This window comes from Homo sapiens, chromosome 16 (assembly GCF_000001405.40).
Source record: "Homo sapiens chromosome 16, GRCh38.p14 Primary Assembly".
Taxonomy (NCBI): domain Eukaryota; kingdom Metazoa; phylum Chordata; class Mammalia; order Primates; family Hominidae; genus Homo; species Homo sapiens.
The window spans coordinates 49,683,962-49,708,587 of record NC_000016.10 but is presented as its reverse complement, the minus strand read 5'-3'; the positions used below and the strand labels follow the sequence as shown (position 1 = coordinate 49,708,587).

At 51.8% G+C, this 24,626-nt stretch overlaps 1 protein-coding gene and 1 pseudogene across 13 annotated transcripts in view, besides 11 other annotated features; one reads left to right on the top strand and one right to left on the bottom strand.

The window, feature by feature from the left end:
- ZNF423 (zinc finger protein 423) overlaps positions 1–24,626 on the top strand; it is a 371,756-nt gene that overhangs the window by 150,692 nt on the left and 196,438 nt on the right. The window lies entirely within an intron of this gene.
- MRPS21P7 (mitochondrial ribosomal protein S21 pseudogene 7) lies at positions 328–587 on the bottom strand (annotated as a pseudogene).
- Positions 3,088–3,768: an enhancer, noted in NCBI's record as "H3K27ac-H3K4me1 hESC enhancer chr16:49738731-49739411 (GRCh37/hg19 assembly coordinates)". NCBI's record gives its function as "activates a minimal SCP1, AML or CMV promoter by ChIP-STARR-seq in naive H9 embryonic stem cells {active_cell/tissue: H9 hESC(naive)}" and the evidence as "EXISTENCE:reporter gene assay evidence [ECO:0000049][PMID:30033119]".
- Positions 3,088–3,770: a biological region, named in NCBI's record as "H3K27ac-H3K4me1 hESC enhancer GRCh37_chr16:49738731-49739411".
- Positions 3,671–3,770: an enhancer, noted in NCBI's record as "active region_10806". NCBI's record gives its function as "activates an Ori minimal core promoter by ATAC-STARR-seq in GM12878 lymphoblastoid cells {active_cell/tissue: GM12878}" and the evidence as "EXISTENCE:reporter gene assay evidence [ECO:0000049][PMID:35858748]".
- Positions 6,050–7,400: an enhancer, noted in NCBI's record as "VISTA enhancer hs625". NCBI's record gives its function as "enhancer in: hindbrain (rhombencephalon)[3/6] | forebrain[3/6]" and the evidence as "EXISTENCE:transgenic organism evidence [ECO:0001131][PMID:17130149]".
- Positions 6,497–7,178: an enhancer, noted in NCBI's record as "NANOG-H3K27ac hESC enhancer chr16:49735321-49736002 (GRCh37/hg19 assembly coordinates)". NCBI's record gives its function as "activates a minimal SCP1, AML or CMV promoter by ChIP-STARR-seq in naive H9 embryonic stem cells {active_cell/tissue: H9 hESC(naive)}" and the evidence as "EXISTENCE:reporter gene assay evidence [ECO:0000049][PMID:30033119]".
- Positions 7,861–8,542: an enhancer, noted in NCBI's record as "H3K27ac-H3K4me1 hESC enhancer chr16:49733957-49734638 (GRCh37/hg19 assembly coordinates)". NCBI's record gives its function as "activates a minimal SCP1, AML or CMV promoter by ChIP-STARR-seq in primed H9 embryonic stem cells {active_cell/tissue: H9 hESC(primed)}" and the evidence as "EXISTENCE:reporter gene assay evidence [ECO:0000049][PMID:30033119]".
- Positions 9,225–9,906: an enhancer, noted in NCBI's record as "H3K27ac-H3K4me1 hESC enhancer chr16:49732593-49733274 (GRCh37/hg19 assembly coordinates)". NCBI's record gives its function as "activates a minimal SCP1, AML or CMV promoter by ChIP-STARR-seq in primed H9 embryonic stem cells {active_cell/tissue: H9 hESC(primed)}" and the evidence as "EXISTENCE:reporter gene assay evidence [ECO:0000049][PMID:30033119]".
- Positions 9,907–10,588: an enhancer, noted in NCBI's record as "H3K27ac-H3K4me1 hESC enhancer chr16:49731911-49732592 (GRCh37/hg19 assembly coordinates)". NCBI's record gives its function as "activates a minimal SCP1, AML or CMV promoter by ChIP-STARR-seq in naive H9 embryonic stem cells {active_cell/tissue: H9 hESC(naive)}" and the evidence as "EXISTENCE:reporter gene assay evidence [ECO:0000049][PMID:30033119]".
- Positions 10,589–11,270: an enhancer, noted in NCBI's record as "H3K27ac-H3K4me1 hESC enhancer chr16:49731229-49731910 (GRCh37/hg19 assembly coordinates)". NCBI's record gives its function as "activates a minimal SCP1, AML or CMV promoter by ChIP-STARR-seq in naive H9 embryonic stem cells {active_cell/tissue: H9 hESC(naive)}" and the evidence as "EXISTENCE:reporter gene assay evidence [ECO:0000049][PMID:30033119]".
- Positions 11,271–11,952: an enhancer, noted in NCBI's record as "NANOG-H3K27ac-H3K4me1 hESC enhancer chr16:49730547-49731228 (GRCh37/hg19 assembly coordinates)". NCBI's record gives its function as "activates a minimal SCP1, AML or CMV promoter by ChIP-STARR-seq in naive H9 embryonic stem cells {active_cell/tissue: H9 hESC(naive)}" and the evidence as "EXISTENCE:reporter gene assay evidence [ECO:0000049][PMID:30033119]".
- Positions 11,953–12,634: an enhancer, noted in NCBI's record as "NANOG-H3K27ac-H3K4me1 hESC enhancer chr16:49729865-49730546 (GRCh37/hg19 assembly coordinates)". NCBI's record gives its function as "activates a minimal SCP1, AML or CMV promoter by ChIP-STARR-seq in primed H9 embryonic stem cells {active_cell/tissue: H9 hESC(primed)}" and the evidence as "EXISTENCE:reporter gene assay evidence [ECO:0000049][PMID:30033119]".

Genomic DNA, 24,626 nt, shown 5'->3' with positions numbered 1-24,626 from the left:
CAGGGCATGGTGGCTCATGCCTGTAATCTCAGCACTTTGGGAAGCCGAGACGGGCAGATCACTTGAGGTTAGGAGTTTGAGACCAGCCTGGCCAACATGGTGAAACCACATCTCTACTAAAAATACAAAAAAAATTAGCTGGACATGGTGGCACACACCTGTAATCCCAGCTACTGGGGAGGCTGAGGCGGTTGAACCCTGGAGACAGAGGTTGCAGTGGGCTGAGATCTTGCCGCTACACTCTAGCCAGGGGGGCAGAGTAAGACTCTACCTCAAAAAAGAAAAAAAAAAGAAAAGAAAAAAGTGGTGGGTGTCGTATCCACAGGCTCAGCAGCTCCGCCGATCCAGCCAGTTCTTTTCCACCAAGAGGTTGATCTTTGGAGCCATCTCCATGCTGTAGATCTGCCGGCAGGTTCCGTAGCTTTCCCCTGTTGCTGGTGGCATGGCTTCTCATGGCACCGCTGATGTCGAATGTCCTCAGCGAGCCCATTCATGGCCACGATTCTGTGTTGGGTCCCGCACGCACCTTTCACGGTCCTTTTCTGTAACATCACAGTCCTGGCAATGAACTCCAGATGTTTTGCCCTGACCTTGGATTTAAGTCTCCACTCTGCAGGCCCTCATGAGCTCAGTCCCAGCCCGCCTTCTTTTTTAAGGCTGAATCATAGAATCGCTTGAACCTGGGAGGTGGAGGTTGCGGTGAGCCAAGATCGCACCATTGCACATTAGCCTGCGTGACAGAGCTAAACTCTGTCTCAAAAAAATAAATAAATAAATAAGTAAGTAAAATAAGATCTGCAAATCTGCAAGGAAGTGCTTAGGGCACTAGTATTTTTTTTTAAAGCATTAGAGGATGCATAAGTAAATAATACGTAAATTTTATCAAGGCTTCTTTATAGTTATTTTATAATTTAGTGTTTTTTATTTTGAATTATGAGTAGGGAAAGTGCTCTTTGTTTTTTTTTTTTTTTTTGAGACAGTCTCACTCTGTCGCCCAGGCTGGAGTGCAATGGCGTGGTCTCGGCTCACTACAACCTCCCCCTCCTGGGTTCAAATGATTCTCCTGCCTCAGCCTCCCGAGTAGCTGGGATTACAAGCGCCTGCCACCATACCTGGCTATTTTTTTTAACATTTTTATTAGAGACGGGGTTTCAAGATGTTGACCAAGCTGGTCTTTAACTTCTGACCTCAGGTGATCCACCCGCCTTGGCCTCCCAAAGTGCTAGGATTACAGGCGTGAGCCACCATGCCTGACAAATGCTCTTTTCTGTATATAGGTTCTCCCCACATCTTGACCCTGGGTCTGAGAGGAGCAAGAGGTAAGTGGGTGGAGCCTAGTGGGGAGAGTACTGCAGACAGTGGGGAGAGCATGTGCAAAGGCCCTGGGGAAGCAGAGGTGACACAGGGCGTCGGGGTACCGGCAGGGACCCCGGGGGTAGGTACCCAGGGAGCGGTGAGGTGAGGGCATGGCATGGGGCTGGGGCCAGATCACATAGTGCCTCGCAGGCCATGGAAAGGGGTGGGGATTTTATTCCAAGCCTAGTGGGAAGCCATTGGAAGAGGTCAGCAGAAGGGTGACAGGATCCGGTGTGTGTGTTTAACAGATCCCTCTGGCTGCTGTGGATAGCATGGGCAGGTGTGTGGGTTGTCCTGGGGGTTTGTTTATAGGTTTCTCCTTCCTGGCTGGCAGTCATGGGTCCTGGGACCACCTGCCATGTGAGGCCGAAGGTGCCCTTGTGTTGTTGGTGCCCGGAGCCATTACCTCACTTTGTCTGGGTTCTGGACTTTCTCTTCTGTTTCTGGGTCAATCAGACCTGGCCTTTTGAAGCCAGATGGAGGCAGAAGACCTTCGGGTGATGTTTAGATCTCTAAGTTGCTGTAAATCTCACTGAAGTGACCTATTTTTCTTCCATGTTGCTCTTGTATTTTTTATGAATGGATGATAAAAAATGTGGCAGGGTCATTTGTTTTAATTTCCTTCTGACACCTGGATTCTGTGTTTGGTGGCAGCCATCCCACCAGTGGCTGGAAGTCTGCCTCCAGGCGGTGGAGTGGCCCTGGGCCCAGTTCACACCTGGCTCTGTTGTGAATGGTGGGGCAGCATGCCCTGGTCCCCACAAGGCAGTGAGCCCCCTTTAGAGCACAGGACTGGAGGGTCAATGCTGGTACCCAGGGATGGGATTCTTCCAGCGTGTCTGTCTGATTGGCCAGGCAGCTGTGGCCATGGCTGGCCTGGAGGTGAGAACTTGAAGGCTCTATCCTTTTGGGACTACAGTCCTGCCCATCTTACGGAGGGTCCAATTGTTAAATGGAAACTAGTTCTTCAAGGCAAACTGGCTTCACCTTTGATGGGGAGTGGTGAGGGGTCAGTTCTGAGGACTGACAGCCTCCAGTGCCCATGAGACCAAAATTCATTTTTTTTCCTAGGGTGGCCATTTGTGGTCATGTCTGGCCCTATTTTCCAGGCTATCTTACCACTCCCCACCTCACCCTTGCCTTTGAAGTGTGTGGTGCCCTTGCCCACGCTGTTCTCTCTGCGTTAAACACCACCCCGCAGTGTGCCTCCCTGTAAAGCCATCCCATCCTTCCAGTCTTCCTGGAAGCCTTTCCTGACCTCTACACAGATGGTCGTCCACGTGCCTTCTCTGGGGTTCCCAGAAGCAATGGAGCACTTGGACACTCCCTTGTTTCTCAAAATACATTTTTCTTGTTTTATGCTTGCTATATAAACTTACTGTGGGGCCGGGCGCAGTGGCTCATGCCTGTAATCCCAGCACTTTGGGAGGCCAAGGTGGGTGGGTCACCTGAGGTCAGGAGTTCAAGACCAGCCCAGCCAACATGGCGAAACCCCATCTCTACTAAAAAGACAAAGATTAGCCTGGCGTGGTGGTGGGCACCTGTAATCCCAGCTACTTGGGAGGCTGAGGCAGGAGAATCGCTTGAACCAGGGAGGTAGAGGTTGCAGTGAGCCTAGATCGCACCACTGCACTCTAGCCTGGGCAACAAGAGTGAAACTCTGTCTCAAAATCACGCACAAAAAATAAAATAAACTCACTGTGGAAGGTCTATTAAGTACAGAGAAGTGAAAAGAAGAAAATCCAGTTATAACCTAGAGATCCAGAGAGTCATTTTGGCATTCATCCATCCACATTCTTGTTCTGCAATCTGCTTTGTTTTTGTTTACCCATAGGTTGTAAACAGCTTATCATATTAATATTGTCCAAAAGCCTCCTTTTAATCGGCTTTATACTGTTCCATTGTGAGGTTGTGCTCAGGTGTGTATTACAGTGCCCTATAGCTAGACAGAGGGCACTCCCCATCCCAGTGATCCACCTGCCATGCTGTGACCATGGCAGGCTTTGTGAAGGGCTGGGGCCTTGACTCTGTTGAATGAATGAATTCTCCTGCATTCACATCTGTCTCCTGATGTACCAGATAAGCCTGTATTTAAGGCCTTCTTATTCTCCCATCCCAAGTGCCCTCCCACCTTTTTCCCAGAAAGAAGACAGGACAGCCCACCGTGCTGTCATTTAACCTTTAAAAGTGCAGGCCAATAGCTCGGGCAACAAAGAGGCTGGAAGGGCTAGGCAGGAGTGGGTGCAAAGGGTGGCCTCCTGGAGGTGGCAGTGTTGGCACAGGTTTGTAAGTGGCTTCCAGGCCAGGAGGGAGCCCAGGGAGTTCTAGGTGGCCTGGGGCTGCTGATGAGCAGGAGAGACTCCAGTTGGAAGTGGAGGTCCCTTGGAGCTGGGAAGTTTTCATGCCTGGTTCCAAGCTCTGGCAGCCATATTTGAAGGCCCACAGTGCAGCTGAGGTGGCACTGTGGTGTTTGGGAGTCTGGTGTGTGTGTGTGCTCTGCATAGCAGTTACATGGGAGTGGAATTCTGTCCTCTGTGTGTGATGAGACACAAACCTTCATACTCCCTCCAGATCTACTGGAGCCTGGGAACAAAGCCTTCATTTATTCAAGCATGCATGCATGGAGTAAGCAAATGTTCACTGCATCTTCCTCTCTATCAGGCTCTATGCTGGTTCCTGCTCTCACAGAGCTCACAGTCTTGGGGGTGAGGGTACAGCTATCCCAGTTTGCTCATGACTGACTGACTAATGGGCTTCCTGGTATGTATGTAGCATTTTCAGTTCTAAAATTGGGGAAGTCCTAGACAAATTGGGACAAGTTGGTCACTGGGTTACTGTCATCCAAGGAGAAAGGTGTCAGAGCCCTGTGGGTAGGACTGAGGGACCCAGAGGAGGGAGGTCACCTCTGGATTTCCTGTTATAGGTGTGGCATGCTTAGTGGGAGTTTTCGTGGAGTGTCATGGAGTGGAGTTGAGATGCCCTAGAAGGGGGTTCTAGCGAAGATTCTTCCCTTCTCCTTTTCAGTTCTTTATGCCCCTGCTCCTGTGTTCCCCCTCTGGCTATGGCACAGCCAGGGTGTTCCAGAGGGGCTAAGACTGCCCTCTGGAAAGTGGATCCCTGAGACCCGGGCTCAGTCATCCCTTTCTGCCTCCAGGCCCTCTTTGAAGAACAGGGTTCTCTGAAGTCCACTCTGAAGGGGAAACCTGCCCTTCCTCCCTTGCACTGAATGGAGTCTACTGGGGTAGACTTAAATGGCTTTTATTTATGGCCTGGGCGCATCACTCATCAGTTGCTTCACTCACCTCTTCACTCACCACAGGGCTCCTGTTCATCTCTTATGTGCCGGGCACTGGGCTGGGCACAAGCTGGTGATGCATTGAACCCAGGGTGGGGCATAGAGGAGCTGGGAGATAAACAACCCCTGCCAGCCCAGCGAGTTAGGGCGACCTAGGAGCCAGCCAGCTCCAGAAGCCTTAGCAGCTTCTCACCCAGGACAGCTGGTGGGAAGGAATCCATTAAGTCAGCAGAGCCGGATCCACCCTTGCTGGGCCTCCCTGGGCTGACCCCATGGGGCTCCCCTGCTAGGTGCCTCTCTGGAGCCTTTGTCCCTAGAAGTCTGTGAGGGGCCTTGGGAGAGTGGAATCTTGCACCCTTCTCTAGGAAGAGCCATTTGTCCATTGAAATGTAATTTTCTCCTGAAAGGAGGAAAAAGACAGGAAGGGCCACCAGGTTGAGGATAGGATTCTGGTCCCAGATCCAGAGTAAATTTCCAGCCTGCAGGTAAAGTCCCTGAAAAATGTAGGGCTGGGTGGATGGGCACCCTGCCCTGGGAAACCCCCACCCCATCCCTGACTCTAAATGCCGTTGTGCCTAAAAATTAAATTGAAGTCAGAAATGATTTTTACTCCTTCACATGCTTTAAAAAAAATTCAATGAAGGAAAACCCCAAGCTGACGTAATGGATAGAGTACAGTTCAAAAAGAATAAATGTTTTCAAGAAAGAAATTTCTAAAGGAGATTTCTTTGTGTGTTCCAGCGGCCATGACACGGTTAAGCAGGTCGCCTCTCTGGTCCTGGTGCACCTGTGGGGAGGTTCTAGCGGTAACCGCAGAGCCCAGGAGGGAGGAGGGCCCAGCATTGGAATGCGGGCGTGTGCATGCCTGCGCGCCTGTGTTGGTGCATGTGTTCGTATCAACACATGTACACATTTATCAAATTACATCTGCTTTTACCTTTAAAATTTTATGAACATGAGCATATGGTGCTTTATCCTGCCATGGAGTGTGTGTGTGTGTGTGTGTGTGTGTGTGTGTGTGTGTGTGCGTGTGCACACAGGCAGGTTGGCTTGGCACTCGCTCCTCCAGCACACATGGGTCTGTGGCCGAGAAACTCCTTTGGAGATGAGAGCTTGGAAGCGTGTGGGGCTGTGGGTGAGCCAGCCTCCCCAGGGCCCCAGCCTGGCCCTTGGCCCACCAGGCCATGAATACATTTCCATCCATCTCTGGCCCCCATCACCTAGGCAGCTAATTCCTCGGAGCCTCTCAGCCTTATTAAAGTCACAGATCACTTTCTTGAGCTTAATGCTGTCAAGACCAAGCGTGCCCCTTGTTCTGACCCCCTCCCGCCATCCAGCCTCTCCTTGAGGGCTGGGGGTGGAGGTGAGGGGCCCGCCAGCCCCCCGCCTCCACCCTGCCCCCTCCTCAATTTGATCGGCATGACGCCTTGCAGTGATCAGTGAGGTCGCCTCAAGATTCCTTCAGTAAAGCCCTCGGCAGGGATACAAGGGCCGTCACAGCTGTGCTGCACAAACCAGCTTCCAAAGGCGAGGATGGGGCTGGCCCACTCGAAGTGGCTCCTCGGCAGAGGGGTGCGAGGCTCGCTGCTGATTTGGAGAACACTTCTCCCGTCCCTGGCTGCCTTGGCCTCCCCTGTTATGAAATATGGATGGTACCGGTTCCAGCGTTCAGAGACTCGCTGGCAGTGTGAGCGTCTCCAAAGGCCCGCCTTGTGCATGCACCTAAACACTTCACTGAGCAATCTGTCAACATGTCAGCAACACATGTTTTGTAAAAAGCTTCCAGTGGGAGTAATGACTCCCACCAGGACTTCCAAAATGCTTTGAATTCAGCAGATTTCTATTGCGGGCATCCCCTGGGGTGCCTTTTACAATGCCTACATTTCAGAAATTTGAGCCACAGACCCCTGGGGGTTTCCTTTCATAATGCCTCAAAATGTAGGGTTATATTGTTGGAAGTCCCCATGGGGTCTTTATTAATACCTGAATTCTGAGGAACTGGAAATTACACAGGGCACTGCAGGGGCCCAGATCCACACCAGGAAGAAGAGAAAAACTCTGTGGGGAGATTTTTTTTCTTCATGCAAGAGTGAAAGAGAAGAATTTGCTAAAGGACAAAATTGAGTGTGTTTGAGCTTCCTTCATTTAATCTGCCTTCTAGAACGCTACAGTAAAATCTGCAACGGGGAAGGGGGGAAATGACTTTTCTATTTTTAAATCTCACTTTGATATTTTAGGGGCCAGAGTATGTTCTCTTTAAACACCCAGTGTCGAAGAGGTATTGTTTAAAAATAAATTATTTTTCTTTTTGGTAATTGAAAACACCTCTGCCGTGCCCCTCTCCTGGGTCTCCCCTCTTCCTTAGAGCTGTTAAGCTCCTGTAGCGCGCTGCCGTCTCATTATCATTAACCGTTTGGGGTCGGTTTGAGATATTGGCCCACTTGCTCCCCTCCCCTCCCCTCTCCTCCTCTCACCTCCCCTCTGCACATTAAAGATGAGAAAATCAACCTTGGAGATGGTCCAATCTCCCGTGCGAACTGGTTTCAAATCCTCGTCGCTGGTTGGGGCCATCAGCGTAGGAAATATCAAGGCTGGCTGCTACTTTTTTGCAAGCATTTTGCTGCTGAAGTCTTGAAAAGACAGAGGGGTGCCTTCCTGTCCCCCACCCTACACACACACGTGCGCATGCACGCACACGTGCATATACCGGCTTCCACGTGTGACTCATCTCAGCCTCCATCACCTGCACACTCACCTTTGGTTCTGTTTTTTTAAAAGTTACAAGACTTAAACATGTTAAGCCTTAGGGTTAATTTAAGCTGCCTTTTTTCATTCTAAATCTGGCACTGACTAGCTTGCTGAAAAGAGGCCTCTCTATTTCTATTACAATCTCATTGACTGGGACAAGAAAATAACATTGAGAGAGCTAACTTACAGCAGCCAAGGCCAAGAAATTCTAAGTTGCTGATAAGACCCTCCTCCCTTCTCCTCCCTCCTCTGCCCTCCTCCCTCTTCCCTCCTCCCTCCTCCTTTCTCCTGCCTCCTCCCTCCTTTCTGCCAGAGTGACTGGATCACACAGGGGACTCAGGAACTCACATTTTCCCCCCTTGGTGAGACTCCCAGACGGTGTTCAACCATCTGTGGTCCCGTGGGCCCAGCAGAGGGGGCCCAAGGAGGGGGGTTTGCCCATCAGGAGCTGGTTGGGTCAGATGCTCACAGAGATCCTCTGCACCCACCCCGAGCAGGCTGATTAATTAAGCAATTGCATCATTGATTCAAGGTTTGTGATTTGGTGCCAGGGCGCTGGCGGCTGCGTTCCTGAGCATTGCTTCCCCTCCCTGGGCTGTGAGTTGCAGGATCCCTTTCCTTTCTCCAGCCTGATTTTCCTCCCCAGTGCCAATCCTGGATGTTCCATCAGGAAAGGAACGGCCCCCTGTATTCCAGCTGCCCCTCCGCCCCAGTCAGGAAGCCCTGTGCCTCCTGGGGTGTCATGATGGGTGGGGCTGTGGGCCATGAGCAGACCTCAGGAGGGGCCTTTTCTGCTCCCAGCAGGCCCTGTGGGCTTCAGCAGGGGCTTGGAGACGGAGAGGGCAGGGAGCCCTGTGGTGCTGATTTGACATTTTTAGCTGAAGACCTTTGTTCCGACCAATTTCCAAGTAGCTTGGGGTTGGAGTGCATTCTGCTTTTTTCTTTTTCTTTTTTTCTTCTTCTTCTTCTTGTTTTTTTTTTTTTTTTTTTTTTGAAATCCTGGGCCTCTTTTTCCTTTTTCTTTCAAAGCGATGAAATAGAATCTGACCCTGGGAATCCCATTCTTGCCATCTCTTTCCCCAAGCCACCCTCTTCTGCCTGATCAAGGAGGCCTGGATTTCCTGGCAGCCTCTGGGTCTCAGAGGGTCTTTGGCCTTGAAACCCTGCTTCTAGCCCAGCCCCTCGCCCCTGTCTTCTGAGGGCTGCAGACTCCCCAGGGAGGCTGATATCCTGGCCTGGGGCCCTGGCTCGGGAGCTGCTGTGGGGTGGGGTCCACTATTTTTCTGTCCTCCTCCCTCTTGGAGACTTTGGCCCTCACTTGGCCTCAGGGTCAGTGGGTGGAAGAGCCGTAAGATAAAAATTTAGCCCACTTCCCAAGAACACAGACTTTTCCTAAGGAGGCCTGAACCAGGCAGCCAGAGCCCCTTCAATTTTCATCCAGTGGGGATGGCATGGTAAGAGCACTCAAAAATAAACAAATCAAAACTGAAAACATCAAAACAACTAAAAGCCGGACAATAGAAATTCCTTTTCCTTGTGAGCCCCAAAGTAAACAATGAAGATACCACCTCTGGGAAAGAGGACATGACAAACTTAGATTCTTTTGAAAACACATACTATTTGCCAAATCAGATGGCAAACCTCCTTCCAGCATCAAAATCCATGTGGTTCCAGGGAAGAACGGGGGCAGGGGGCGGGGGACGGTGTGGGAGGAGCCTTTGCGCCCCCAAACAGATGTCCAGGGAGGCGAGGCCAGAAAGCTTCCGTGGAGCAGTGATTTATTTTATTTTTTAGATCTAGATGTTTTGGCCGCATTTATTTATTTATTTCCAAAGGGCTATTTTTGGCGTCTGCCTGGGCTCCTTTGTAGCAAAGCCCCCTTTTCTAGAATTTCCTTTCCTTTATTAGAGTTACAGCTCAGCTTTGTGCGGCCCCCGGGGGAGCCGGCCAGCCGCTGGCAATTTCTCTCAGACACCCAATTACCCCCTGACGTCAGTGCCGCCTCGCCCAGCTCCCCTGGGTGCTTCCATTTTTCCCTTTGTAACACTAATAGCTGACTAGCTAAGTGCCTGTCGGCTCCTTGGCAGAGGAGGTGATTGTGTTTTCGGCTGGATACTAAATCCAAAAACTATGTAAAAATGTCAATAGGTGAGTGCACATTGATTTTGGTTAGTCACAGTGATATTTGAGCCCCTTTGGGGACTCTGTCTGGGGAAGTATTTTACAAGAAAGATAATATAACAGAAAATTACTGGAGCTCCGCGGGTCTCTGGTGGGTTTCTTAGAGGCCTGCTAAATTGCTGTAGAATCAACAAATGCTTTATTAATCTAAATTTGTGGTTTTGTTCTTTCTTCTCTTCAGAAGGTTGGAGTTTTAATGATGCAGGCGGCTCCGGCGGCCGGGCTCGGCAGCGCGGCCCGCACCTTGGCTGACGGGCTGGGGTACCCTGGCTGGTAATGAACTCTCAGAGGGTCCGGGAGCAGGGCGGCTGTGTTCCCAGCTGGCTTCCTGGGGAATGTGGAGCAGGCGCCGGGCCCACCGCTTGCCAGGCCGAGGTCTGTGCGAGCAGATAAAGTGAGGGGCTGAGGGCCTGGAACAGCTGTGGCGGGCCAGACTGACTGGGAGAGGCTGATAAGAGCCCAGAAGGAGCCCAGGCGGGCGGCGTGGCAGCGCCAGAAATCTGACGGGGTATCACGACTGGCAAAGAAAGTTAAACACGGCCGGATCGGGGGATGGTTGGCGGACCTGCGGAGAAAGATAATGGTAATTGATGGAATCAAAGTCGCAGCACAGCCTTGTGTTTTCTTGGCAATTAATTCCCCCACCCCTCCCCAGTTTCTAACCCCCTGGCATTCTTAGAGCCCAGGATGCCCCGTGAGCAGGCTGCACACTCAGATAATCAGCACATGCCCTCCTTGCTTCGGGGGGCGGGAGCAAAGGAGATGCAGCCAAGAAAAGACACAATTAGAGACCTGGTTTAAAAAAAAATGTTACAAACAAACAAGTCAGAAAAAGAAAACCCCACTGAAAAGTTAAGGACGTGTCACTCCGGGAGCTCATCTGATCTTGCTCTGGAAGGGAAGGAAGAAAATCGATGTCTTTGTAAGAGTGCCGCACTCTCCATCTCCTGGCTGGGCAGGACAATGTGGAGTCGGGCTGGTCCCTGCACACACACACACACGCACCCCCAGATGCTGCTGTGGGGAAAGGCGGCGTAATGGGGCAGTGGTTCATGCCACAGACAGATGTGCCCGCCTCTCCCCGTGTATCCTCCTGCCCCCTCTGCCTTTTGTCCCTTGAAAGGCATTGCTCCCCAACAATGGGCTGGTTAAGGCTGATTCGCATCACCGCGGGCTCATGCCGCCTGCCCGCACCGTAGGTAAGGCTTTCAGCTGGCCTTTTGTTGTGTCACTGACAACGTGCACACGCTGGGACACACCTGCTTGCAGAAACACGCGTGAACGCACAACTCTGGCACTCCTGCCCATCCCACTGCACGGTCCAGGGTACTGCTTCCTGGGCCAGTCCTGTTGTGCCCCAGGGAGCCCCTGTGTTTGCTCCAGGATCTTAAGCAAATAAAACACTCCAAAAAATTTCCCTAGAGTCTTTTGAAATTAAAATCAGTGTGCTGTAAACCTGCGTGTCAGTCTGGCATACGAGACGCAGGCCTCCAAATAACTGGAAATTGTATGAGGGAATTGATCAGGAATGGCCTTCTAGGTGGTTCTACCTGGTGCTTGGCTTGGACTCCAGGAGCCTACTTGGTAGGTAATTAGCATTTTGGAGTGAGCCCTCCTATTAGAAGGTGATGTGATAAGCCAGAGGGACTTTTAAAAAACATCATGTGCTTGTTCCCTTGCACAGGATTCCTGGCCTTCTCTCTCTTTCTGGGAGCTGCTCTGCTCCCAGCCCATCTCTGGTTAGGTGACATCAGTTCTGTACCCAGAAACCAGGTGACAGAAGGACCTGGTGGGTTAGGGACTGAGAGGCTTCTGACTTATTCTGACCACTTGTCCTGTCTACTCCATCCCACCTTGGTGAGGGCTGAAATGAGTCTTGCTTGGAAGCAAGGTCCTGAGCCCTGGGGAATTCTGGAAGGTCGAAGAAAGGTGTGGGCCAGCCCGTCACCAGCCAGCCTCCTCCCCCACGATGGACTGCATTCCTGCGTCAACCCTCCGGCGATTCCCTGTGAGCTTTGTCTCCTTGACAGGGTGGGAGGAAGGAGGGTTTGGAAAGGAGGCCCCCCTGGTGACTTCTGAGCCATCAAAGCCAGCCCCCCTCCTGAAAGCGCTCTGCAGGCTGGCAGCTGTTTTGGGGCCTGGAGAGGAGACAGGGGGCTGGTCCTTTGTCCCTTCGAGGAGCCTCCTGGAGGCCCAGGCCTGCATGGCGGGCAGCCACATTAACCTTCCACCCTGGGTGGGGGGGGCTTGCCTGAGGTCAGGCACTTAATGAGGCCAGGTCCCTGGCTGTCCCCCGCCAGGACTCTGGCAACAAAGGCCCAGTCAGGCTGCACAATGAGGGGGAGGTAGCCGGGTGGGGGTGGGTAGGTGCCGTCACAGCCTCTGTGGCCCAGGGTTTTCCTTCCAGCCCACCCCATGCTGGGCACTTCAAAGGGGCTAGGGGAGAGGCCAGCCAGGCCTGGCGGGCCTGGGCCTCCTTCTCCCAAAGCCACTGGAGGTAGAAAAACACCTTGAGAGCGGGGCTGATGGAGTCAGGTTTTTGGAATCTGGCACCATGGGGAGCCCCTGGTATGAGGTCCTTCTCTGGTAGCCTTGTTTCACTTTCTTTGTTTGGAGCTAGAGCTTGGTGTGGCCCAATTACTTAAATCAGAGCCTTCTAGCCTTTCATGTCAATAATAACAGCAATAATAATACCCCATGTATGAGGATGCCTGTCACTGAATTCTGAGCCTGCTACCCCACCCCCCACCATCGCAATGACTTTTCTACCTGCTTTGTGAGGCTGGGGAGCAGGCGTGAAGACCTTTGTCATTCAAGCGAGAGGAAGGAAAGGAAAAGAACAGTTCCAGGGCTCCATGCCTTCTCCCTTCATTCCCTTTGTGGGTTCTCACAGTAACAGTGAGAGTTGGGCATGGGTTCCCATTTTACGGATGAGTCCACTGGGGTCAAAGAAGCTGAGTAAACCTATCTGAGATCACACGTCTGGCCCTAGCACTTGCAGACTTTATGACTCTGGTGAATTTCCTGAAGGTCTCTGTGCCTCAGTTTCCTCATCTATAAAATGGGGATAATAATAGTACCCACCTCAGGGTTGTAGGGAGGATGCATTGGAATAATGTATGCAAGAGCTTGGAGTGTGGCTGGCACAGAGCAAGCACTCAGTAGTAGCTGTTGTCCTTCTTGTACTAAATTGTCTAGTCTGGATTCCAGTCCACACTCTCCAGGCTCCAGAGCGAGTACTCTTTTTGCTTTATGAACAAACAAAATAAAAACCAGTAAGGGGCCTGGCGCGGTGGCTCACGCCTGTAATCCTGGCACTTTGGGAGGCCGAGGTGGGTGGATCACCTGAGGTCGGGAGTTGGATACCAGCTTGGCCAACATGGCGAAACTCCGCTTCTACTAAAAATACAAAAATTGCTGGGTACAGTGGCTAACGCCTGTAATCCCAGCACTTTGGGAGGCCGAGGTGGGCGGATCACCTGAGGTTGGGAGTTCGAGACCAGCCTGACCCACATGGAGAAACCCCATCTCTACTAAAAATACAAAATTAGCCGGGCTTGGTGGCGCATGCCTATAATCCCAGCTACTTGGGAAGGCTGAGGCAGGAGAATCACTTGAACCTGGGAGGTGGAGGTTGCGGTGAGCCGAGATTGTGCCATTGCACTCCAGCCTGGGCAACAAGAGCAAAACTCTGTCTCAAAATAAAATAAAATAAAAATACAAAAATTAAGCCAGGTATGGTGGTGCATACCTATAATGCCAGCTACTTGGGAGGTTGAGGCACAAGAATCACTTGAACCCGTGAGGCAGAGGCTTCAGTGAGCCCAGATCGCGCCACCGCACTCCAGCTTGGGCAAGAGTGAGACTATGTCTCAGAAACAAAAACAAAAACCAAAACCTGTAAGGTTGCTGAGGGATCCTTCGCCTGAGCTGCTCGGTGCAGAACTGGGGAATGGAAGCCCAGGGAGGGGAAGGGACTGGCTGTGGGTCTCAGGGTAAGTGGAATATGGATGTGGGAGCCAGAGGCTGCCTCTGAGGACCACACTCTCACGTCTTCACTAGGTGGACAAGTATTTGTAAGGCTTGGTCATATTTTGCCTGGTTTCCCTTAGTTGCAGAGAGACATTTCTTCACATGAAACCAGACCCTATTTTGTGTGTTGGAAATGCTCACAAGTATTTCCCAAGGCTCTCCCTACCCTACCTCAAGATGCTGTTAGGAGTAATCCTCCACCCTCAGTGTGGCTGGCGGTGCCTGCCCTGGCCAGAGGGCATCAGAGCCCTTCCTGGATGGAGGAGGGCAGGGCCTCCCTTCCTTTCCCTTGGAGGCCAGTGGAGTTCTATGTGTGGTGTGTCTGTTGCAGGAGAGGAAGGCATAGGGGATTTGACTCTTAGAAGTCTGGGGGTATTAAGAATGGGAAAGAAAAGGTATCCCCTGAAGGCAGCTGAGCACAGGGGCGGGGGGCATGATTTCCAATCCCTGCTTGCAGATGAGCAGAGGCAGGATGTTTTTACCATGTGGCCAAAAAGGTGTTCAGGGCTGGAGGCACAAAATCATGTGTGTAGCTTTACAAATCCAATTCTACTGCTAGTGCCCCTAGCAATTGGGGGATTTAATGGAACCCTCTCTGTTTCTCTTGGCACAGCAAAGACTCATGCTTTGTTCTGTGCATTCAGCCCGCCACACATCTGATTATTTTTAGAGGGGTCTCTGTATGGCAGGCACTGTGCTGGGCACTTGGTGATACCAAGCTGAGTAAGAACAGGTTTTGATCTCTGGGAATTCAGTCTCCCTCCCTCTCCCTCCTGCTCCCCCTTCCTACTTCCCTCCTTTCCATTCACTAAGTATCTATTAAGCATCCTTATTTCCTATGTTAATAATAGGGGTCCATAGAAATGATCACGGCATGGGGAGAACCTCGTTAGACAGACTGAGGAGGAATGTTGCACTGGCAGAGGAGTTTTCGTGAGACTTGGCTCTAGCCTTGGCATTGACACTGACTATGAGCTTGACTAAGTTACTGACCTGCTCTGAGCTTTCATTTATAAGAGAAGGATGTTGAACTGAACAATAATAGTATTGGGCAGGCATCTTTCATTTGCAAGGAATAGAGTCGCATCTCAAACTGGCTTAAGGATAAACCTTCAGGCCTGGCCGGATCCTTAGGAGTTCATCTCTCTAGTGTTCTTGTCTCTGCTTTCGTTTTTGTTGGCTTCATTCTCTGCCAGGCTCTTCCTAAAAGAGGGCAAGTTAATCCCCCTTCCTCCGGTGGCCCCAAGCTCATAGCCTCCTTGCTGAGGTAGAGCATCTCTTTCCTGTAGTGTAATGAGGTCTCAGGATTCACGCTGATTGGCCTGGATTGGTCATGTATTCATCCTTAAGCCAATCACTGTGGCTGGAGGGTGCAGTGCTATTTGGCCAGGCTTGAAGTACCTGAATCACATAGCGGGTAGGGAGTGTTTGCTCAAGGAAGACAGGGCTGGTCTACAGAATGCAGGGATAGATGCTGGCCAGGCTGAAAAGCATGGAGCATTTCACCACGGTCATTGATAAGCATCCTTTGAACCTTATTCACGCATAAGACAGGACCAGGAGCCTGACTGTGGGTTCTAATCCCACGTATGCATCCTTCTTACTGTGTGACATTGGGCAGGTAACTTAATTCTCTTAGCCTCAGTTTCCTCATCTGTAAAATGGAACTAACGATAGCATATACCTCATACTCACGGGTTCTTCCCACACCCTGCTCATTTCTGTGGACCCCTATTATTAGCATAGGGAATAAAGATGCTTAATAGATATTTGATGAATGGAAAGGAGGGAAGTAGGAAGGGGAAGCCGGAGGGAGAAGTAAATGTGTTAATCAATTTAAAGTGCTCAGAACAATGCTTGGCATGTAATAAGCACTTAATGTTAGCTATCACTCTTTTTATTTATTCACACATTTATTCATGAACTCTATGGCTCATCCAAGCAAGTGAATACATCATAATGTTTGCCCTTGTGGAACTCACAGAGGCATTCTACGATTGCTTTTCACTCGTTCATTCAAGAAACATTTATTAAGCACCTACTATGTGCCTGGCACAGTGCTAGGCTAAGCTTAGGACACAGGGGTGAAGGAAATAGCCCTTGCCTTCATGGAGATGTAAGAGGTATCTTTGCTTATTCTTCACCTCTCATCTAAACACTAGAGACAATATTGTCTTCTGCAGAGAGACTGCATAGAGAGAATAGATGTGGGCATATGTTAAAAACTCGAAAGTGGCCTTTTGTCTAGCATGTTGTGAGTGGGTGGGCATTTGCCTGTCCTTCAGGGGTGTCCACCCAGGATTGTAGCTTCCCCTGCCTCCTCCTCATCCTTTCTCCAAGCTTTCCCCTGTGTGGCTGTTCCCTTGGCTTCTGTGCCTCCTAGCAAGATGGACGAGGCGGCTGCAGGCTTCTCAGTCTCCACCCTGCGTGGTGAAAGGAGGCAGTGGGGGTCAGGCATGGGTTAAGGTGCTGGTTCTTGGGTCCAACACCGATCGGACTTCAGTCCCTCGTCCCACGTCAGTTTGGGTGGGGTCTTGGGCCTGGCTTCACTCTGGTTTTTTTGGGTTGTTTCCTGGGGCAGACCTCTTGGCTCTGCATCGGGCTGTGTGCTGGGGGTCTGCCAGAGAGGAGTGGGGAAGGAGAAAGCCTCATCGTTTTCCCCCTTATAGCCCATGGGAAGAAGTCCTCATATGTCAAGTGCTCTGCATAAGAAATGGGGCAGGTCAGGTGTGGTGGCTCACCCCTGTCATCCCAGCACTTTGGGAGGCTGAGACAGGAGGATCGCTTGAACCCAGGAGTTTGAGAAGAGCCTGAGCAACACAAAGTGAGATGCCTGTCTCGACAAAAAAAATTCAAAAATAAGCTGGGCATGGTAGCATTCATCTGTAGACCCAGCTACTCTGGCGGCTGAGGCTAGAGGATCTCTTGAGCCTGGGAGGTGGAGGTTGCAGTGAGCCGCGATTGCACCACTGCACTCCAGCCTGCGCCACAGAGCGAGAGACCCTGTCTCAATAAACAAACAAACAAGCAAACAAACAAAATAAGAAAAGAAATGGGGCAGTGTAGGGATAGGGGGCCACAGCCGCCCTGTCCCTCAGCAGCAGGAGGAGGCCAAGTGCTCAGCCCCAGGCTTATAGTCACTGCATAATGGCGCTTCCCTTGTGCAGCCACCCACCCCATCTTCTATACCCTCAACATCTCTGTTACTTGTGAACGTTGAGGATCCTCTATTTTTTTTTTTCTTGAGATGGAGTCTCGCTCTGTTGCCCAGGCTGGAGTGCAGTGGTGCGATCTCGGCTCACTGCAAGCTTTGCCTCCCAGGTTCACGCCATTCTCCTGCCTCAGCCTCCTGAGTAGCTGGGACCACAGGCACCCATCACCATGCCCAGCTAATTTTTTGTATGTTTAGTAGAGACGGGGTTTCACCATGTTACCCAGGATGTTCTCGATCTCCTGATCTCGTGATCCGCCCGCCTAGGCCTCCCAGAGTGCTGGGATTACAGGCGTGAGCCACTGCGCCCGGCCGAGGATCCTCTGTTTTAACCTATGAGGAAACCGAGGCTCAGAGATGTTCAGTAACTTGCTCACGATCACCCAGCCAGGATGTGTTGGAGCTTGGAGGCAAACCCATGCCGGTCTGATCAAACAGCCCAAGTTCTTGGTCACCAAGTTGTACCATCCCACAGAGTGAATATTTGCACAGACCCCAGCATCCTCCCAACTGGGAGGGGGCATAGAAGGTGGCCACTTTTCTAGCTACAAGTTGGAAACTTCGAAGATCAGAACTTGCCAAGAGGGCGAGGGCTTTGATAGATGAACCCACTCTCTATGTCTACCTGTCTGACTCCCTCTGTCGGGCCCTCTGCCCTGGTCGGCTGATTCTTCCCCACTAAGGGCCGCTCAGCCCCCTCCGACGGCTGCTTCTGAGAAGGATGTCATCAGTGTCTCTGGTCAGATGCCTGGGCCTCAGGCTGGAGCCATGGGCTGCCGGGGAGCTCACCTCTCCTGTCTCCACACGCTCCCCAGGCCTGCGGCTGGTGAAACAGGTTGCTTTAGTTTGCTCACCGACCTCCTGGCTGTCTCTGGAGCTGCAGCCTCTTTCTACCTGCCACACTCCACCCGGGCCTGCCATCTCCTTGTTTCCAGGTCTCCATCCCCCTCCCATCCTCCAGTGACTCCTGTTGGGAGCGCTCGGGGGTACCTCTCTGTGTGCCCCTATAGGGTGTAATAAGGCTTCCAGGAGGCACCGCCTGTCGGGCATGGATAATCCATTTGTTTATCCAATGGTAACCCAGTGGTACCCCCTCGCTGCCTCCTCCAGAACCCCTCTGGTCAGTACTTTCTCTGCAAGGGGATTTATTAATAGGGGTGGAAGCTCTGAAGAATTCCTGGGAGATGATGTCACATCATGAAAAGAAAAGCAGATAAATTGAATTATTATTGTTTTTTGTTTAGAGATAGAGTTTTGGTCTGTTGTCCAGGCTGAAGTGCAGTGGCACGATCTTAGCTCATTGCAGCCTCAAATCCTGAGCATGAGCGATTCTCTTGCCTCAGCCTCCCAAGTAGTCAGACTCCAGGTGTGCACTACTATGTTTGGCTTTTTATTTTCTAGAGGTGGGATCTCACCATGTTGCTCAGGCTGGTCTCAAACTCCTGGCCCCAAGTGATCCTCCTGCCTCGGCCTCCCAGTGATTTGGATCTTGACAGTTCTGTGTTCACATTTTTTCTCTGCCCACAGTCTTTAGCAGTTAACGTATTTGTGAGCCACAGTTTACCCCTCTGTGAAATGGGGCCACTGAAGCCTCTCTTGCATGGCGATGAGGGTTCAGGGCAGTAATGGGCATGAAGGGCTGGCACACTGCCTTGTACACTGGGCTGCACTTAGTAGATGGTGGTTCTGTGCCCTTTTGTGTAGAACAGGACACCCCTGGGGGTGCAGGGAGGTGGAGTAGGGTGTGGAGAGGAAGCCTTTCCTGGGGATGGCAGGTGGGGCAGAGTGAAACAGTCCAGGCTACCATCCTCAGTGGACCTGGGAGAGTGTCCTTGGCTATTGAGCTATCTGGTGGCAGAGCTGGGTCACTGCCTGGGAGCCTTTCAGGACTTGTGAGATCCAGAGATGTGGCCATTCTGAGGGAGGACTGCCTTGGTTTTTTGGTCGGGGGAAGGACAGCCACCCCTCCCAGATGCATCTCCAGCCTGGATGCCTCCTCAGGTACCACCTGCCTGTTCCTGACCTTGGTAAAGTTGTGTGGAGATACCAGCAATGGTGTACCATGCCTTTGGGGCCCCCGGGGTGCCACACGGGATTGCTTGCAGTAACTCTCAAGGCCTCTTGGCCTCTGGCTGGGTGTTGTGGAGTGTAGGGAGAGGGCAATATCCTTGTTCCGTCACAGACACTGTGACACCCCTCGACCTCCTGGAGGTCACGGAGGTGTGGGGCACGCTTTTAATGTTTCTGAAAATACTTCAGGAAAGCAGCATATCTTTGCAAATATTGGCCTAAATTCTTTTTTTTTCTTTTTGAGGCAGGGTCTCTCTCTCTGTCGCCGAGGCTGGAGTGCAGTGGTGCCATCATAGCCCACTGCAACCTTGACCCCTCAAGCGATCCTCCTGACTCAGCCTCCTGGGCAGCTGGGACCACAGGCACGCACCACCACGCCTGGCTAATTCTCCTCACCCATCTTTTTTTTTTTTTTTGTAGAGATGGGGTCTTGCCATGTTGCCCAGGCTGGTCTGGAACTCCTGGGCTCAAGCCATCCTCCTGCATTGACCTCCCAAAGTGCTGGGATTACAGGCATGAGCCACTGTGTCCAGCCCCAAATTCTTTATTATACAACACAATCTTAGACCCATGCCCCGGGTAAACACATGAATCAACACATCAGTAGGAACAAATCCTTCTCATCCCTACACCCAAACCTCCAAATCCTCACCTGTGTGGCTGTGCTCCTGGCCAAGATCTCCTGAGGTGCCTGGTATGCTGTCTCGGGAGCCAGGGTAGTGCAGGTGGCTCCTGGTCCAGCTCTAGGCTCTTGCTAGTATCTGGAGGACAGCCACTGGCCCAGGAGCTTCCGTGGAGTGGATACTAGCGTGGCCATTCTCAAAGAAATGGGACACCAACCACAGGGTAACTGGAGGTGCTGAAAGAAGCCAATCCTACAGCTTGAAATCTGTCTTCTGCTCCCCACCCACCACACTGCCTGCTGGCATCGGGAGTTTGTAAGTTTTCCTTTTTTATTGAGTCTCTCATTTATCACGTGAATAACACAATCATCTTCCATTGTTTGTGGATGTGTTTTAAGAGCATGAGTGCTGTAAATGCTTTAATTATTTAAGTCACTAGACATTTGAAATGTACCGCTGTTTTGGTCACCTTGGCCTGGCATTTCTTCCTTGATAAAATATACATAGAGTCTCCCAACTTAGGAAGACCTAAGCCTCATTCAGCCTCCGGGGGAGCCGCCCGGGCTGCCAGCAAGACATCTTCCTGAAGGTTCCCGTCACTCGGGGATCTCGCTGGCCTCCCTGGCCCAAACCTCCAGCGGCTTCCCTCTATGGAGCAAGAGGGCGGGCTCCTATGTCTTTTCTGTTGAAATGATTTCTCTTGCTCCTCCCCTTGATACAAAAGACCCAAGTCTGGGTCCAGAGTAAGTTATTTGTAATGCATTTTTAGAGTCCATATTGCAATATTAGCCATGACTGTCTGCTGTGTAGAAAAAGGAGGAGTTTGTGTTTGAAGTTTAATCCAGCTTCTACTTAAGCTCGGTCCCTGGGCAATCCTTTTTTCTGCCGCTGAGCTCAAACAGCCGGGCCTCAGGTTTGATCTGCTGCCCCACGGAGCCCTGCCCAATGTGAATTTGAAGAGTTTTTTTTTTTTTTTTCCCTCTCAACCAGGGAGACTTGCGAAAAAAAAAAAAAAAACCGCACCGTGGTCTGCAGCACCCGCTCCCACTGTGGGTCCCTGGGTCCCTCCTGGAGGCCCTCTGGCTGTTTTTTGGGAGGGCAGATGGGTTGGGACCCACCAGGACCTTCCAAGATGCAGCCGTGTCCCTCCCTTGGGGTCTCCAAGGAGCCCCTCTGAGCTCTCTCTGCTGGAGGACGTCAAGCACTGGGGAGTCTGGGAGTCCTGTCTCACATGTGGGGGGCAGAGAAAAAGGAGGGAAAAAAGGGAGGGAAATGAAAGGCACGAGTTTGTCGGGAACTGGTGCTGGCTGTGGAAACAGGAGCCGCAGCAGGACGGAACCTGGTGGCCTTCAAAACTTTTCTTCTCCCCTCTCTCCACATGACTCGGAGGATGCAGGCAGTAATTAAAGGCCCCCCTGGTTCCTCATTTTCTGTGCCCATGTCTTTGATCTGGCTCATGTTGGGCAGCTATTTTCATTGTTCCTGCCTTTCTTTCATTCTTTTTTGATGGCAGAAATGAAGATCTTTGATTCTAGAGTCGGAGGTGGGCAGGAGAGTGTTACAGGTCTTACATAATGCATCTTTCACATCTTATTTTTAAACGCGGGCATAATCAGGGCTGGGCAGAGGCTGGGCTTGGTTTGCACCCGTGTGTGGGGAGAGGCGGTTGCCTGCCCTGCAGTGCTAGCCCAGGGGTAGGTGGGGACAGGCAGTCCTGTGCAACTGAATGAAAATTACTAGAGGAAGCTTCCCCCACTTCCACCCCTTCCTAAATATAACCTGGAGGGAGTTTTTCCTAATTGTTCCCTTATGGTGAAAAATGTGTTGAGAGAGGGCAGGACAAGGAAGGCCCTGCCCACCCAGCCAGGGGTCTCTTGGTGGCGCCCTGGGAGGCCTGCCCACTGTTTATTAGTGGATGTTAATAAACTATAGGGGACAAACCACGGGGGTGGTGTATGAACAGTAACTCAGGTACCCAAGATGAAATAGGGGTGCTCTGCCAGATGTGGGGAGGTGGCAGACATGGAGGGGGTGTCGCCATCTGGTTCTTCTGTACACCCTTCCTGGGGCTTCCCTCCAGGCAGGAGACCCTGGGGCAGACAGAGATGAGAAGGTGAGGCCTTCTCCATGGTTAGGAACATGCGATCCAAGGTGGGATGGGGATGCGAGGCTGGTGCAGGGATCGCAGGTTCTGATGATGATGGGGGTTCTGCCTGGGAGGTGAGGAAGCATGGGTACAGGCTGGCGGGGCTGGTGAGTCGAGATCATGCTTGCTCCTCCATCTGTTCCTGTCCATGGCTTCTAGATTTCCAAGAGAAGCCAGTCACTTGGGTCTTTATGGGAAATCTCTTAGAGATGAGAAGAAGAGGTCTGCCTTGGTCAGGGGACAGTGATAGTAAGGTAGGTAGGAAGCCTGGCAGGTAGGAAGCCTGGGTGTGGTGGGAGAGGGGGTGATTGGAGCGTCCAGGCCACTCAAGTGTGGTGGGTCTGGCAGGAAAGGCTGGGAGGGCACTGACAGGGGACCTGCATCCTCCGTGTGGGGCGTACGCAGGCCTGTGTACTCCGAGTGGCTGCAGGGCTGCTTCCTGGCAGTGAGCTCCACAGGGCCAGAAGGTTTTTGTACATGATACCTGAGGCTTCATGTCACCTCCACTACGTGCCTGGTATTCATGACGGTGTGGTCCCCTCCTGCCCCAGCATGGAAGACAGAGCCTCTGTGAGACCCGCCTTGCACTTTGGATGATGCTAAGGAAGGTTGCGAGGCTGGCCTTCCTGCCTGCCTACCCGAGACTCAAGCAGCAGGACTTTCATAATTAATATGAATTAATGCATATTAATTGAGCACCTACTTTGTGCCAGGCTGTGTGCTGAGTGCTGGGCATACAACAGTGAGCTGGACAGGCCTGGACTCTCCCCCTGTGGAGCTTCCAGTCTGTGGGGGAGAAGGACAGCTAGACAAACCACCCCATAAATAGCTACGTTTATCTTCTAGGCGTGGAAGCATCTGGAAGGAAGAGCATGGGGCATGAGAGAGAAGCAAAGGCTTCTTTGAAGAATGGACACTGGAAACGAGGGCGAAACAATGAATAGAAATTATGGGGATAGCCATCCAGACGGAAGGTTTGAAGACTGCAAGTCAGGAGGGCGCTGGCATGTTGGGGGGATTGGTGGTAGGCAGCATGGGGGAGCGTGGTGAGCCAGCAGAGCGTGTGTACGGGTGGGACCAGGTGGGGCATTTGTATTATGTTCTAGGAGCAGTGTGGGTGGTGGGGGTCTTGGCATCCTCAGACTCATCCTTGGCAGAGTTCCTGCCAATGCCCTGTCAAGGACGGGCGTGGGCAGGTGGGGACATGGAGAGGATGGTGCTGCAGGCAGTGGGGACCGAGAACAGAGGGTGTGTGCGAGAGCCGTCCTAGGGACCACGTTGACAAGGTGTGGAAATGGATTAAATTTTGGAGAAACCCAGGAGGATCCCTGGTTTCCTGGCTTGGGCATCGAGGTGAACAGAGGGGTCTCTCCTGAAATACACAGCGCTGAAGGAGGAATAGGATTGGAGGCAGAGAAGTCTTTCCCCTTTTCTGACTGAACTGCACCAGGGCAGGGGCCTGGGGGACAAAGCTGGTAGGGACAGTGGGGTGTCAGTCCAAGGAACTAGACCCTGGCTGCTGCTCAGTCCCCTCAAGACCCCATGCTGCATGTGAGCAGGAACCTCCATTGCTCTATCCCTAGCTGAGCCCACCTAGTCCATGCCTGGCACACAGTAGGTGCCTTGTTAATATCTGTTGTGGAGACCTGCTCTAGAAGGCTGCAGATCAGTTAAAACTTGCTGGGATGGGGATGCTGCTTGATGGGGGAAGATTCTGCCCTGGGCTGCCTCCTCCTCCAACTTCAGATGTTGAGTTTTGGGGGCTGCTACCTTCCAGAGGGAGGCCCTGAGCTTGAGCTTGAGCTGTTGTGCCTGGCTGGGCTGCCGGATGCCCGCTTGTTATGGCCCCAGATGGGGGCAGCCTGTCCAGTGTTCCTGACTCCCTTGTAAACCCTCTTGGCTGGCCTGGCTGGGCCTCTGAGCCTGAGGACAGCCATCAGCCGGTGTTGGTGGTTCGCGTGCCCCTGCCTTTCTGGGCTGTAGATTCCGCCCGCTGTCTAGATTGCGTGGAAATCTGCTTTGCCTGGTGTGTGCAGAGCCTGGCTCCAGCCCTCACACACTCCAGCTGGCCGCGTGTCAGGGCCCCCTCATTTATGTCCACCAACTTTGGCAGCTCCTTCTTGCAGCTGGGCTGGGGTGGAAGTGGGGTGCTGCTTAACCTGGTGGAGGGGCCCAGGGCTCAAGCTGAGGGGAGGGCTTATAGGAAGATGCGGGTTCCACCCCCTACATGAACTGGACTGCTGCTCTTGGGTCCTAGATTTGCTCTCTGGGCTGAAGGAGAGTTACGTCCTGGGGCCACTCACATCCTGACCAGAACCTTGAGGGGCTCAGCTTCTCTTTTCTTCATCTTCAGCCCAAAGCAGACTTTTAACAGAGGCATGACCAGGTCTGGGCAGACCATGGGGAGGTTTCTTCATCTGTAAAATGGGAACATCAGGCACCCACCATAGACCCATTTCCCTCACCATTCAACATTTAATTAATGGCATGGACATCCTCAAGATGGTTACAAATGTCTCTTTAATTTTCCCCAGGGCAATTTGAGAATCTAAATATCCCTGATATAATCTGGCCATGTGGCTATAGTCTTACAACCTGAGAATTCAATGGATGAATCTCAGACAACACAGTTAGTTGTATTTTGAGAAAAAAATTCCTCATTACCCAAACACCCTATTTTCCTGATGATATTTCTTTTGTGTTGGTCTTTGTCTGCACACATGAGAATTTACAGGATTCCAACCAGAGGGTGTCTAATATATTCTGCTTTTTTTGCCCAGGGAGTTCACGGTCTGACCTGCATCTGTGGTCTGTGGTCCTTGTAGCTGCTCTTATTTATTTTATTTTAATTTTTTGAGACCAGATCTTGCTCTGCTGCCCAGGCTGGAGTGCAGTGGCACAATCACAGCTCACTGCTGTTTTAACCTCCCAGGCTCAAGCAATCCTCCTGCCTCACCCTCCCAA